Source organism: Homo sapiens, chromosome 12 (assembly GCF_000001405.40).
Source record: "Homo sapiens chromosome 12, GRCh38.p14 Primary Assembly".
NCBI classification, from domain to species: domain Eukaryota; kingdom Metazoa; phylum Chordata; class Mammalia; order Primates; family Hominidae; genus Homo; species Homo sapiens.
Genome location: NC_000012.12, coordinates 124,649,238 through 124,663,842, shown reverse-complemented (window position 1 = coordinate 124,663,842; position 14,605 = coordinate 124,649,238). Strand labels below are relative to the sequence as shown.

General features: G+C 51.0%; 2 annotated features.

Moving 5' to 3' along the window:
- Nucleotides 11,075-11,588: an enhancer, noted in NCBI's record as "H3K4me1 hESC enhancer chr12:125136801-125137314 (GRCh37/hg19 assembly coordinates)". NCBI's record gives its function as "activates a minimal SCP1, AML or CMV promoter by ChIP-STARR-seq in primed H9 embryonic stem cells {active_cell/tissue: H9 hESC(primed)}" and the evidence as "EXISTENCE:reporter gene assay evidence [ECO:0000049][PMID:30033119]".
- Nucleotides 11,589-12,102: an enhancer, noted in NCBI's record as "H3K4me1 hESC enhancer chr12:125136287-125136800 (GRCh37/hg19 assembly coordinates)". NCBI's record gives its function as "activates a minimal SCP1, AML or CMV promoter by ChIP-STARR-seq in primed H9 embryonic stem cells {active_cell/tissue: H9 hESC(primed)}" and the evidence as "EXISTENCE:reporter gene assay evidence [ECO:0000049][PMID:30033119]".

The following is a 14,605-nucleotide window of genomic DNA, read 5'->3' as shown; positions in this document are numbered from 1 at the left end:
AGCTCTCACTCTTGTCAGTCCCTCAGAAACTACACACAATGGATTTTCCTTTCTTCCTTCCCAACCAGACCTTCCTGATGGCCACAAGTGCCCTCAAGACTCCCGATCATAAAAAGAAAACTTTCCCTAAACTGATGTTATAGACCCTGTTGCATCCCCCGCGATTCATGTGCTGAAGTCCTAACTTCACCCTCAGTGCCTCAGAATGCAACGTTATTTGGGAAGTAGGGTCCCTGCAGATGGAATTAGTTCAGATGAGGTCATACTGGAATAAGGGGGTCCCTCATCCAATATGATGTGCTTCTAAAGCGGGGAACTTTGGACACAGACACACACAGGAAGAATGCCATGGGAACATGAAAGCAGAAATCAGGGTGACGTATCCGCCAGCCAAGGGATGCGAAAGATTGCCAGCGAAGTACCAGAAGCTAGGGAAGAGGCCAGGAACAGATTCCCACAGAATGAACCAACCCTGCTGGCCCTTTGATCTCAGACTTCTGGCCTGCAGAACTGTGAGAGAATACATTTCTGTTGTGTAAGCTGCCCCATTTGTGGTACTTTGTTACGGCAGCCAGGGGAGACTAACGTACCCAACATTTCAGTCACAAGGACATTTATTGAAAAGGCAGCCCAGACCCATATCATCCATTTCCTTCCTTCCTGTAGCTCCTCATATCCGTTAGGGATGCCTGTTACCTGCAAGTTGCAGAAAGCTTAACTATCAGTGGCCTGAACAAAATGGGAGTTTTGTTTTCCTCCTCTAAAAAGAAACCTGGCTAAAAATCATACAGTCACATCAATAGATGCAGAAACAGTGTTTGGCAAACTCCAACACCTATCCCCGACAAAAACTCCCAGCAAACTAGGAGTAAAGAGGAACTTCAACTTGATAAAGAACATTTCCGATAATCCAATAGCTAACATCTCACTTAATGGTGAGAAACTAGGTTCTTTCCCCGTAAGGTCAGGAACAAGGCAAGGACATTCACTCTCACCACTCCTTTTCAAGGTCATACTGGAAATCATAGCTAATGCCATAAGACAAGTAAGAAAAGGTATACAGATTGAGAAGGAAGAAATAAAACTGTCTTTCTTCACAGATGACATGACTGTTTAGAAAATCCCAAAGATTCAAAACAATGACAAAAAACACTAGAATGAATAAGTGATTATAGCAAGGTTGCAGGATACAAGGTAACTATACAAAAGTCAATTGCTTTCCTACATATCAGCAATGAGCAAGTAGAATTGGATATTTAAAGAAGCCTGGCAAAAGCTGTTTTAGCAACCAGGCCATGTCAGGGCCTCAGCAGTTCTTATACCTTTCTCTGTAGTGCCAACATGCCTGCCAAAGCTCCAGAACATTCCAGACAGGAATGTGCAGGGAGGGAGGAGAGTAGATGCTGTTGGTGCTCACTAAGCCTCCTCAGGAGAGACTGCTTGAGAGTTTAACACCCTCAACCGATGACAAGTGGGGATTGAGTGAATAAATACCCCAACTATCTCACTCTTCAGGCACATAACTCTGAGCTTGTCTACGCTGTCTCTTGGTGTTCCTCAGAAGAATTGCTTCTATAAAGTGGGATTGGTGATAGTCCTTTCTTCATAGGGTTGGTGTGAGAGCTGCTGCATATAAACCACTGTGCAAAGAGCCAGGCATACAGTAAGTGCTAAATAAATGCCTGTGACTGTGAGCACTCACTCAGTATGGTTGGGGAGCAGAAGAGAGGCCAGTGTAGCTGGAGCTGGACCAAGGCCTAAGGGCAGATGAGACCATGGGCATCTTGGGGCCATCTGTGGTGACCCTTGACCTAAGAAGGTCCACAGACTCATTTTAAAGGAAGGCCACAGCTAGACTCAATCCCTAGGCAGAGTAGGCTAAGAGTGGGAAAACTCTGGACTTGCCAAGGTTCTGTTTCCACTGAATGGGGCACAAAGCAGAAATTTAGTTGAATTATAGAAAACTCTAGAGAGTTCTAGAAAAAAACCTGTAGCTGATGTGTTTGGAGTGGGGGTGGGACTCTTCCAGAGCTATGCTTTGGGCCATCAAGCCACAAGGGCCAAGTTTTTTGAGATTTTACAAGCCAGAGACTCGGGCCTCTGGTCTTCAGGTCAAAATCCCCCCACTGCAGCCTGGCTCTCTGTAAAGCCTGCCTCCAGCGTGGAAACGGGAAGATGCAATGTCTTAGTGGTTAAGCCATGGATGGCCACTAGTGGCCCTTGTCCTGGGCCCTTATCCTTGGTGTGAGATCTGGAATCTCTCTCACAGCCCCCGCTTGGTGTCTTCGTGGGTGGCAGCCTGTTGTCATGGAGGAAGCTGGGATGCAGTTGTGGATGAGTGAATTTATGATGGGGAAATTTAACACAGGGCTGATTCATGGCTTTTCATCCCAGGCCTGGGGGAAGCTCAGACCCCTGTACTCCGGCTGCCTTCATTTATTTCAGACTCGTGTGTGAAGAGGCCGGGGGTGGGAGAAGGGTGAAGAAAAGGTTGAACACCAGGCATGGGGCGAGAGCGCCTTCACCCACCAGGCTCCTCAGGAACCCAGTCCTGGGAAATGGCCTTGCAGAGGGAACAGTCGCAGCTGGGTTCCATTCTCCAGTTTCTAAAAGGAGGCAGGAAAAAAATCATTCTGCACATTTGCAGTCGTCTCCCTGCCTGGCTTTTTTTTTTCTTTCCTGCAAGCACAGAGGACGTGGTCCCTGTGTCCTGCCACAGCGCGTGGGGGCTCGTTAATTAAAGAGCCGAGCAGATGTCACTGTTCATTAAGCGCGGCCGCGTGGCTCCTTCTGCAGACACTGCCGCCCTTTGCGCTCACTACTTAATGACACCGCGTCTCCCTGGCTGCCCCAGCCCTGGAGAAGAGCAGGCAAGGCTGCGTTTCCCCCTAATTTGGCGGGGTGGGGGGCCTCCGCCCCACTGCGTCCTTGTCGGCTGGGGCGCTGCAGCCAGACACAAGGTGATGGAGACTTTTAATTTTCATCATGCCTATCCGTCGGAGCTCCGTTTTAAATCACTTTAACGGCAGATTAAAAATATATAAGCTGATATTAGAGGACATTCTTAGTGCCTTTATAAATATCTTAAATCAAAAGTTTGGCTTAATTGCACTTGAATGGGTACAGGAGGCTGGGGAGGTGGGGGCTGGGTCAGGTGAGCCCCCAGTGGCAGGAGGGGCGGGGAGGGGGCTGGATGGAGGTAGTGCCAGCACCGGGAGAGGAGGAGGAGGTTGCTGCATGGACTCAGAGTTAGAACTTCCATCTGTCCATCCGTCTACCCTGCTGGTCCAGATCTGGAGAGCACGTCAGGTATACCTGCACACCCCGGGCAGACCAAGCCCCTCTCTCCTCTGAGTTACCACCAGGCAGGGAAGATGCCAGTGAGCAAGGAATTCCACAGAGCAACAATTATTCATGGCACACTTTGCGTCGGACACTGTTCCGGGCACTTGATGTATATTATTTCATTTAATCCCCACACAACCCTGTGCATGGGGTTCATGATTATCCTCATTTTATGAATGAGGCTGGGAGAGATTCCGTGATTTGGTCAAGGTCACTCTGCTCTTCAGTGAGAGCCAGGATCTGGACACAGGCAGTCTGACTTCAGTCTGTGCGTTAACCACTGCCCCCTCCTGTCTCTCTTTCCTAATGGGACAAGTGTCAAGACAGGAAAGTTTCCAGGGAGGCATGGGGGGAGCTGACTGGGAGCCTGGCTTCAGCCTGAGGCATAGAGGAGGTTTCCGAGGCAGGGAGGTTGAAGCTGGAAACTGCTGGGTGAGTAGGGGTGGCAAAACGAAGAGGAAAGTGGGCAAGGCCCAGAATGGTAGGTGCAAAGGCCCTGGGGGAGGCACTCACTCAGTATGTTTGGGGAGCAGAAAAGAGCCCAGTGTCATTGGAACCAGACCAAGACCTAAAGGCAGATGAGACCATAGGCATTTCAGGGACATTGGTGGGGACTCTTGGCCCAAGGAGGGCTGTAAGTAGATTCAATCCCTGGGCAGGGTGGAAGAAGCCTGGGAAAGCTCAAGACTAAGCAAGGCCCTGTTTCCGCTGAATGGGACTAAAAGCAGAAATTCAGCTGAGTTCTAGAGCACTCGAGAGCCTCGCGTCTCACTCATCTGAGCCTGCTGAGGTGCGGTGGGAGGACAGCAGTGACGAGGAGGCTGATAGCATGCACTGACTGAGATGGTCTGCCTGTCTGAGAAATGAAGACGGGCAGATGCTGACCTGGAGGCTTGGCAGAAGAGAAGGGAAGTAGAGTCCCTGAGGGGTTGAGATGGCAGAGGTGAGGGGTCAGGAGCTGAGGCCGTGCTATGAAATGTCTCAAAAGAATGTCCTAGAATGTCAGAGGTGGAATGGCCTTTTGCCCATCAAGACAGGGTGGGGCAGGAGCTGAGCTGACTTCGGTCCACACTGACGCCTCTTTTTCTCACACTCCTGGATCTGCGCCATAAGCGAATCTTATTGCCCATACCTTAAAAATCCATCCTCAAGGACTGGGAGAGATATTTGCACACCTGTGTTCACAGCAGCAGTGTTCATAATGGCCAAAAGGTGGAGGCAACCAGAGTGTCCGTCAATGGATGATGGTTAAACAAAATATGGTCTATCCAGACAATGGAGTATTACTCAGCCTTGAAAAGGAAGGACATTCTGGCACAGGCTACGATGTGGATGAATCTTGAAGACAATATAGTGAGTAGAATAAGCCAGTCATAAAAGGACAAATACTGTCAGTTTGCACTGATATGAGGTCTCTGGAGTAGCCAGATTCATAGAGACAGAAGGTAGAATGGTGAGTGCCAGGGCTGTGATTCATGGAGACAGTTTTAATTGGGGAAGATGAAAAAGTTCTGCAGACAGATGGTGACGACGGCTGCACAACAGTGTGAAGGCCCTTCATGCCACTGAACTGAATGCTTGAAAAGGGTTACGATGATACATTTTATGTTATGTGTATTTTACTACAATTTAAAAAAATCTGTCATGACTGTGACCACTTCTCTCCAGCCCGCTGCCTCCCCTGGCTCCAGCTAGCATCATCTCTGGCTTGGACAGGTGCAGTAGTCTCCTCGACGGCCTCTCAGCCTTCATTCCCACAGTTGATTTTCCACTTGGCAGCCAAAGGGATCCTGCTAGACCTAAGTCAAGACAAGCCACTCCTCTGCTCAAACACCTATAACAATTTCCCTTGTCCCTGGAGGAAAAGCCAGTGCTTACCACAACCCACGATGCCCTGCGGGGTCTACTCCCTCACCCTCTGCTGTGTCCCGAGGCTCAGTGCCCCCTCCTCTCCCTCTCCCTCTCTGCCTCATCTGCTCTGGCCTCCTTGAACATACCAAGCACACACCTTCCCCAGGACCTTTGCACACCAGTTGCTCCCTCTTTCTGGAAAGCCCTTCCTTCCAGAAAGAATGGAATATTACTCAGCCTTAAAAAGGAAGGACATTCTGACACAGGCTACAATGTGGATGAACCTTGAAGACATTATATCGAGTAGAATAAGCCAGTTTTAAAGGGACAAATACTGTCAGATTCCACTGATATGAGGTCCCTGGAGTAGCCAGATTCACAGAGACGGAAATTCTCTATGAATCTGGCTACTCCAGGGACCTCATATCAGTCTCTTCCTTCCTTCCGTCATTCCTGCCTGCCTCACTTCCTCATCTCCTACAGGTCTTTTCTCGATTGTTTTCTGCTTTTCCAGCAGCCCTTCCCTGACCTTCCTATTTAAGGTCACACCTGAGTCCCCCTGATTTCTCCCACCCTCCTTGCTCTATTTTCCTCCATAGCTGGTAAATAAAATTTATGTGAGGCCCTCGTTTTGGACTGAGCTCCTGCTCTAGGCCCCAGCAGACCAAGAACGGAGCCACTCCTGCAGGTGCCGTGTAATTAAACTGAGCTTGGAAATGGGGGTAGTTTGGGCTGGGCACAGTGGCTTATGTGTCTGTAATCCCAGCACTTTGGGAGGCCAAGGCAGGAGGATTGCTTGAGGTCAGGAGTTTGAGACCAGCCTGGGCAACATAATGAGACCTTATCTCTACAAAACAATAAATAAATAAATAAATAAATAAATAAATAAATAAATAAATAAATAAATAAAAATTACCCAGGCGAGGCATTGCACACCTGTAGTCCCAGATATTCAGGAGGCTGAGGTGGGAGGATCACTTGAGCCTAGGAGGTTGAGGCTGCAGTGAGCTATGATTGTGCCACTGCACCCCAGCCTGGGTGACAGAGACCTGTCTCTAAAAACAAAAAAGAAAGAAAAAAATAAGCAGAAATAGAAGAAATGGGGGCAATTTTTCTAATAGACTGGAGATTCACAGCAACCAATCAAGGAGGGCCCAGTCAACCTGAGCCAGCCTAAAGAACCCCTTCTGCTTTAACCCTTACAAAGAAAGCAACTTGAAATAACCTGATGTTGAGCAACACGCTGTTTTGGTATCATGCTGATGCTGGCTCTCTAGTCGTGGGTGCATTTGGTGTTCAATGATATTGGTGAAGGGGCTTTATAATCTCAGCTCTGTATACACCCCATCATGGCTTCCGGGGCCACGCTTCCCCTCCTTGGACACAACAAGCTCATCCATACCCCAGGGCCATTGCACTGGCTTTCTCTCTGTTTTGAGATGTAGACACAGCTTGTTTCAACTCTGCCTTCAAGGCTCGATGTTTGAGCTTGCCTCCTCCAAGAAGCCCTCTCTGATCTTCTCCAGAGATCCCTGCCTACCCTGTTCCCTAGTTTTTTGTCTTTCTAGTCCTTTCCGTTTCTGAACGTATTTCTTTGTAGTTGCGTCTGTCTCCTCTCACAAACCTGTACAAACCTATCCAGTCTGAACACAGGGACTTTGTCAGTCCTGTCCTCTGCCATGGCTGTGTTCCCACCAGGCACAGAGTGACAGCTCAATGGATCTTTGTGGACTGTGTGACCTAAGGCAAGCCATCTCACCTCACAGGCCACCTCTTTTTCTCATCTGTAATTTGGGGTCTTCATTCAGCTTGGCAGACTCATGGGATCTAGTGAAATGTTGGTGGCTCTGTAAGCCTTCAGATCATGTTGAAATTACATTAAAAAGTGAGGCTCCTGGCTGGGTGCAATGGCTCACGCCTGTAATCCCAACACTCTGGGAGGCCAATGCGGGCGGATCACGAGGTCAGAAGATCGAGACCATCCTGGCCAACATGGTGAAACCCCATCTCTACAAACCATACAAAAAGTAGCTGGGCTTGGTGGTGCGTGCCTGCAATCCCAGCTACTCAGTAGGCTGAGGCAGGAGAATTGGTTGAACCAGGGGGTCAGAGGTTGCAGTGAGCCGAGATCGCGCCACTGCACTCTAGCCTGGCAAAAGGGTGAGACTCTGTCTCAAAAAAAAAAAAAAAAAAAAGTGAGGCTCCTTATTAAATTGTGGGGAGGTCTTCCACCCTCCCCACAAATCCCCTACTCCCCACATCCCTAAATCCAACCCTGCAGGAGGAATTCTCCCTGCCTCGCAGGCTTCAATCCCAGAGGGCTTCCTGAAGGTGGGGCCATTCTCCAGCCAGCTTTATCAGCCCTTGGGGCTGCAGGGTTGTTTCCCACATTTCAAAGCCTCCTCCTACTCCCCTGTTCCCTTCTCAAAGCCCTGAAACTTCCCCTCTGTAAGCCCTAGCCATCACTGCCCACCGCCCCGCCTCCCAGGCTGGGCCAAACATTTTCTTCAAGAATGCAAGTGGTCAAGGTCACGGCCTTCTCCTCTAGCATCCCCCGCCCCCTAGCCTGGGGAATTAGACTCTGGGCCACACCATCTGTCTGAAAACAATTAGCAATAAACACCAGCGCACTGGGGCTCTGGGTCATGGGGGCTGGTGGGGGATGGAGCGTGGTGGGCAGGGGATGGAGGAGGATGGAGCTGTGGGGGTTCTGAATGCAGAAGAAGGTTCCCGGCTGAATCAGCTTCCTGTCTGTGGGCCAAGAAAAATCCTCCCGGCCACCCCGGGGAGAGAGCTTCCCAGCAGCCTCTTGCAGAATGGAGAGGAGCCTCTACGCAGAATGCAACCTCACAAAGCCCCGGCCTCAGCTGGGGAGGCGGCGGGGGACCATCTGGCGGAGCGTGGAGATGTGTCCCAGCCAGACGGAGAAGCAGCCTTATTTGCGATGTATTGTGTGTTCCGTTTCTCAAAACACTCCACGCATATGCTTCAAGTGTATGGCTTGCAGCCAGCTGGGCCTGGGGTCGGGGGGAGGTGGGGAGACTTCCGAAGCCAAGGGGAAGGGTGACGGGCCTGTCCACGGAGTGCGGACCTCTCAAATGCTCCCCACAACCCAGCCCCAGCTGGCCTGGCACGACCCTGTTCCCCTCCTCCCCTGCTTGGCCTGCGCCTAGCTCTGAAGGCTTTCCAGTCTTGTTCAAATGTCACCTCCCCTTAGAAGGCAAGGCGAGTCTGATTAGCCAAACTGAGTTTATCTACATAAGGTTTGGCTCACCAAGCTGTTTTTTTCTTTTTGTTAATTTGAATAAGTTGCTAGTGAAAAAAAAAAAAGATTTTACATAAAAATCTGGATGTTCAGCTTCTTTTGAAAAATCGAAAGATCTGGCAAGTCTGGGCAGCAGGCCAGCACGGCGCCGGTCAGCCAGGCTGGAGGAGGTGGATGGGCGTCCCTGTAGCCAGGCGTGACTCTCCTGTCCCCGTATCCTGTTCATCCACTCACTGAGTCCACCATGCTGGGACCTGTTGCTGTGCCTGGGCTCTTACCGGGTTTAGATTTCCACAGGGAGACAGACACTGAACCCCTGAACCAGTGCATCCACAACACAATGTCCCATAGTGCCGAGTGTCACACAGGAAATAGCAGCGAAAGGGTGGAGGGGAAGACGAGTGGGAGAGGGTGCTGCTATTTTACATGAGAGGCCAGGGACGATGACGGGCCCCACGTGGAGGAAAGGCATTCCGGCGGGAGGGAACAGCAGGTGCAAAAGCCCCGAGGCTGGCACAGTTTGGGTGTCCGAAGAGCAGCACGGAAAAGCCGGAGGCCTGGTGTGGCGGGAGGTGGGTGAGTGAGCAGTGGCCAGGCTTCCTTCAGAGCAAGTGACCAGGACATGCCAGGGTTTGGGGTCCCCCAAGGTAGTCTGGGCCAGTGAGCCTCAGGGGATTTTCCAAGGTGGGGGCCAACTTTGAGAATTCCAGGTGGTTTGTCCTGGAATCTCAGCCACTCCTGAAACAGACTTTGAGGGTCCCAGTGGGGGGGCTTCCCCAGAGGCAGTGGCCCCTGGTGGTTAAGGGGCCACTTAGAGCCTGAGTTCCCCATATGTAAAATGGGGTAATTGAAACCCACCTCAGAGGGTTCGTGTGCTGTTAGATAGTATCTATGTGTATGTCTCTGTACAACTGTCCATGCACAAGGTTCAGACAATGCCAGGTGCATAGAAAGTGTGAAGTAACTCTTTGCTATTTTTTTTTTTTTTTTTTTTGGAGACAGATTCTCACTGTCACCCAGGCTGGAGTGCAGTGGCACGATCTTGGTTCACTGCAAGCTCTGCCTCCCGGGTTCAAGCGATTCTCCTGCCTCAGCCTCCTGAGTAGCTGGGATTACAGGTGTGCATCACCACACCCAGCTAATTTTTGTATTTTTAGTAGAGACGGGGTTTCACCATGTTGGCCAGGCTGGTCTCCAACTCCTGATCTCAGGCGATCCATCCGCCCGCCTTGGCCTCCCAAAGTGCTGGAATTACAGGCATGAGCCACTGTGCCCGGCTGCTGTTAGCCATTTTAATTTAAGGATCAAGTAAGATTGCTGTTTAAGGGAGCAGTTCCCAGACTGTTTGGCCCCTAGACCCTATGACACCCTTAGAAATTACTGAGGACTCCAAAAGGGCTTTTGTTTATGTGGGTTCTATTTATCAGTATTTACTGCATTAGAGATTAACATGATAAAATTTCAAAACATGCATTTATTTTAAAAGAACAATTTTATGCTCCTTAATATGTTGAGTAATATATTTTAAGAAAGATAACATTTTTTTCCCAAACATAAAGAAATAGTGAGAAGAGAGTGGCATCGTATGTTTCACAATTTTGCAAACCTCTTTCACGTCCAGTCCCTTAGAAGAGAGCTGGATTCCCAAATCTGCTTTTGCATCCGGTCTGGTGTGACTTGGCGTTTTGGTTGAAGGACATGAAGAAAACCCGACCTCACAGAGATGTAGGGAAGGAAAAGAAGGACCCTGTGGATCCCTCCAAGAGTCTCAGACCTCACTTTGAGAATCCCTGGTCTAGGGAGTCGTCCAGGACATGGTGTGGGAGGGGACATCTGCTTTGTCCCTACTGCTCCAAGGTGGGGACAGGGCTCCAGGAGGTGAAGCCTGGACTCCAGCTCCCGAATAAGCATCTGCCTGCAGCGACCCAGCAGGGAGGGAGACAGGCGTGTAGCAAGGAGTAAGCAGGAAGTTACAGCTCAGAACGATGTGGCCCGTGGCCCGTAATGGGGGGAGCACAGAGAGACGCCCCACCCAGCTGGGAGGCGGTAGGGGAGCTGCAGTCCCCTGCAGGTGTCCCTAGGTCCCCAGGATCATCAGGATTCCAACCCTGGCCACTCACATGGAGTCCCCGGGTGCCCCAGCCTGCGTGGCTCGGCGCTGGCCACGGGTGGTCACTGAAACTTCCCTTCAACTGCTTCAGTGGCCTCATCCCCATTTTATAGAGGAGGAAACAGGCTCCCACCTCCAAGATGGAGTCACTGGTGTGGGTGGCAGAGTCTGGGAGGGCATCCTGGCCCTGGGGCCCCACAGGTGCTCCTGCTGCCAGCATCGAGCACCTCTGGGTCTCTGGGTGACGACGGGGCAACAGACGGGAAAAACGGGTCCCTTCTCTCCCCTGCACTGCAGGCTCCTATCTGCAAAGACAGCTGCTGCCAGGTGGGGGCAGGGCTTTGCCCCTTGCTGGCTGCCCCCAGAGCCTCAGTTTCCTTATCCATAAAATGGGGGTAATGACATTCATGAACTACATGGGTTCCCTCCTAGGTAGCTCTGAGGGTGAACCGAGAACACAGCCCGTGTGGGCCTGGCACACTCTAGGCACACAACCAGCACCCGCCCCTGCCCGTGGCCACCTCCACTTGCAGAATGTCCCCAGCACTCACTCTGCTTTGCCTGCCATCTCCCCTCTGTGCTGTTCTTTATAAAAGCTCTCCCTTGCTGGCCACTTACAATCTCTCCCTCCTTTAAGCCTCTCAGCAGCTCTGCCAGGAGGGTAGCATCCTTATCCCCATTCTCCAGAAGACAAAACTGAGGTTGGGGTGTAAGTGTTTGTACAAGGCTACACAGGCGAGCAGACACATACGCTTTTCCCCACTCCACCCTTCGCAGAAACACCAGTGGGTTGCAAGGGTGTGAGGCTTGTGGACAGGCCTTTTCCCAGGAGGAATGAAAGAGAAACTCCACAACCCCATACGGGTGGGTCCACAGCTGCCTCCGTGAGCTCCAGACTAGGGTGTTCCTGGGACACAGGACTCATGGTACTAAGACTGGGATGGCCCCAGGCAAACCTGGATGGAGTTGGTCACTCCTGCCCTCGTGGCACCCCAGTCTCTCCCCCAGGTCTGGGATGGGAGAGGAAAAGGGATGGTTTGACCAGAGCTCCCAAGTCTCCCATCCTGGGAGCTGGTTTTAGCCTCTTCCCTCCCCAAAACCTGATCCCTCTGCGGGGTGGGACCAGGCAGCTGCAGCGGGGGGTGGGGGCAGGCACGGGCTGGCTCGAGCCTGCCAGGATGACCTCATGTGCCCACCCCAGGGCTCTAAGGATGTGACTTCACCAGCAGATGCGGGAGGCAGTTCAGGCCACAGGCAAACATGGGGCCAAGAGGAAGGGGACATTTCACATCTTGTCTAGACAGTCATGACCCTGGTGACCTTGGACGGGTGGGGACACCTCTGCCTCCCAGCTGGAGATCAATCTGGAGGTAGCCAGATGGGTGTCAAACCCAGGCCCAAGACCCTCTGCTGATAGCAGAAAAATGACAGAGGACACTAGTTCCCATCTGGACTTCCCTAGGATGCTAGCTTAATCTCTGGTCCTCACCAGAGAGCTCTCTGATAGGGAACTGAGGCAGTGTATCCGAAACCAGATCTGCGACTTCCTGGCTGTGTGCCCTTGCGCAAGTTGCCTAACCTCTCTGAACCTCTTTCCTCAATTTGACTCTCTGAACCTCCATTTTGATGTATAAAATAACCCATCTGTTAGACAGGGGCCTGGAAGGTCAAACAAGAGAACGAACCAAGTAACAAGAATATAAATTAACAGGCCTGGTGCATGGGCAGGGGGATGCTAGAGGAGCAGTCAAAGCATAACCTGTGCACGCAGCATGAGGATGAGTGTGGAAATGTGAGTGTAAACGTTAAGGAAGCTATTAAGTTTTAAGCAGGTCCCTTTGGACACCCGCTGGTCTGTACATGGCTATGACCTCAAAATAAGGGTGCTTTTTCCCAGTGCATTCTGGCCTCCACTTTTATGCCACCTTTGTCCCCAAGTCCCAGCTTTGGTGTCAATTCACACATTGCACCAGCCATCTCTGGCTTGGGGAACCTGGGAAACTTGGAAGTGCCTCCAGGGGAGGTTTTGGCCATAGGCAGACTCAGTCCTTTCCAGAGCTCTTTCTCAGTTTCTCCTGGACTGCAGGGACCAGCCAGCTCCTTCCTCTCAGCTCCCAGGGGCGTCAGAACTCTGACCCGTTTCCCTGTGAACACAGCTGGCCCTGCCTTTAATAGGCAGCTGCTGTGTAAGGGCTCATCCAGTGGAAAGGATGAGGCAGGTCCGCTCATGCTGGCACAGAGAGGCTGACGAAGGGGGTGGGAAAGGCAAGCAGCGGGGCTGCAGGCAGGGTATGGGGTGGGCAGAATCCTGTCCCCAAAGACATCCATGTCCTGATCCCCGAAACTTACATGGCACGAGAAACTTCACAGATGGGATTCAGTTACAGATCTTGGGATGGGGAGATGATCCTGGGCCCTAAACATAGTCATAATTGTCCTTGTAAGAGGGAGATTTGACTATAGGAGAAAGCAGAAGGCAGAAGCTGTGACCTCTGTAAGCAAGAGGTTGTAGGGATGCGAGGACGGGCTCACGAGAGCAGGAATGCAGGTGCCTCCAGAAGCCACAAAACACAAAGAAATGCTTCTCCTCCGGAAGGAACCGGTCCTGCTGATGTCTTGCTTAGCTCAACGAAATCGATCTCGGACTTCTGACCTCCAGACAATAAGAGAATATACTGGTGTTGTTTAAGCTGCTATGTTTATGATCACTTGTTACATCAGTAATAGGAAGTAATATAGTGCTTTAGCTCAGGTACGTGTTTGCGTGTAGAGAAAGGTACTGAAGGACACACTCCAGGCTGTTGGTGGCAGTTGTCTTTGGAATTCAAATTAAGAGAGGGGTCCATTTTGTGCCAAACACAACTTATTTATTGCTTGCTTTTTTTCAATAAAGAATACCTATTTCACGTATGATTAGGAAAAAAAGGTGTAACTATTGATTTTTAGGGTCCTATGCAAATTAATCCTCCCACCCCTGCCAAGTGGCTCCTAATGCCTCAGGCAGACTGGACCCTCCTTCTTTCTGACCACAGTCTGTTAGCACCCAGTGGCATGGCAAGGCCAGACTGCAAGCCTGGCTACCTGAATTCAAACCCCAGCTCTGCTGCTTCCTATGTGACTGTGGGGCCATCATTTAAACCATTTGGCTTTGATTTCCCAGATTTTTTGTTTGTTTGTTTGTTTTCATTTTTGTTTTTTTGAGATGGAGTCTCACTCTGTCACCCAGGCTGGAGTACAATGGCACGATCTTGGCTCACTGCAACCTCCAACTCCTGGGTTCAAGTGATTCTCCTGCCTCAGCTGCCTGAGTAGCTGGGACTACAGGTGCCTGCCACCATGCCCAGCTGATTTTTGTATTTTTAGTAAAGATGGGGTTTCACTGTGTTGTCCAGGCTGGTCTCAAACTCCTGACCTCATGATCCCCTCACCTCGGCCTCCCAAAGTGCTGGGATTACAAGCATGAGCCACCGCTCCCAGCCTTGATTTCCCTGATTGTAAAATAGGGGTCTCATAGGGGACTGGGCATGGTGGCTCATGCCTGTAATCCCAGAGCTTTGGGAGGCCAAGGTGGGTCGATTGCTTTAGCCTAGGAGTTTGAGACCAGCTTGGGCAACATGGTGAAACCCCGTTTCTACAAAAAAATACAAAAATTAGCCAGATGTGGGGCATGCACCTGTAGTCCCAGCTACTTGGGAGGCTGAGGTGAGAGAATCACCTAAGCCCAGGAGGTTGAGGCTTCATTGAGCTGTGATTGTACTGCAGCACTCCAGCCTGGGTGACAGAGTGAGACCTTGTCTCAAAAACTATATATAGGGGCCTTATAGGGTCTGTGTCACGGGTCCCCCAGGCCACCCTCAGGTTCAGGGACTTGCTGGAAGGACTCACAGAACTCAGAAAGCTGTCATACTTGTAGCTATGGTTTATTACAGCAAAAGGACACAGACAGGAATCAGCACAGGGAAAAGGTGTGCAGGGCAGAGGCTAGGAGAAGCCAGGCACAAGCTCCCAGCTATCTTCTCCCAGCAGAGTTGCAT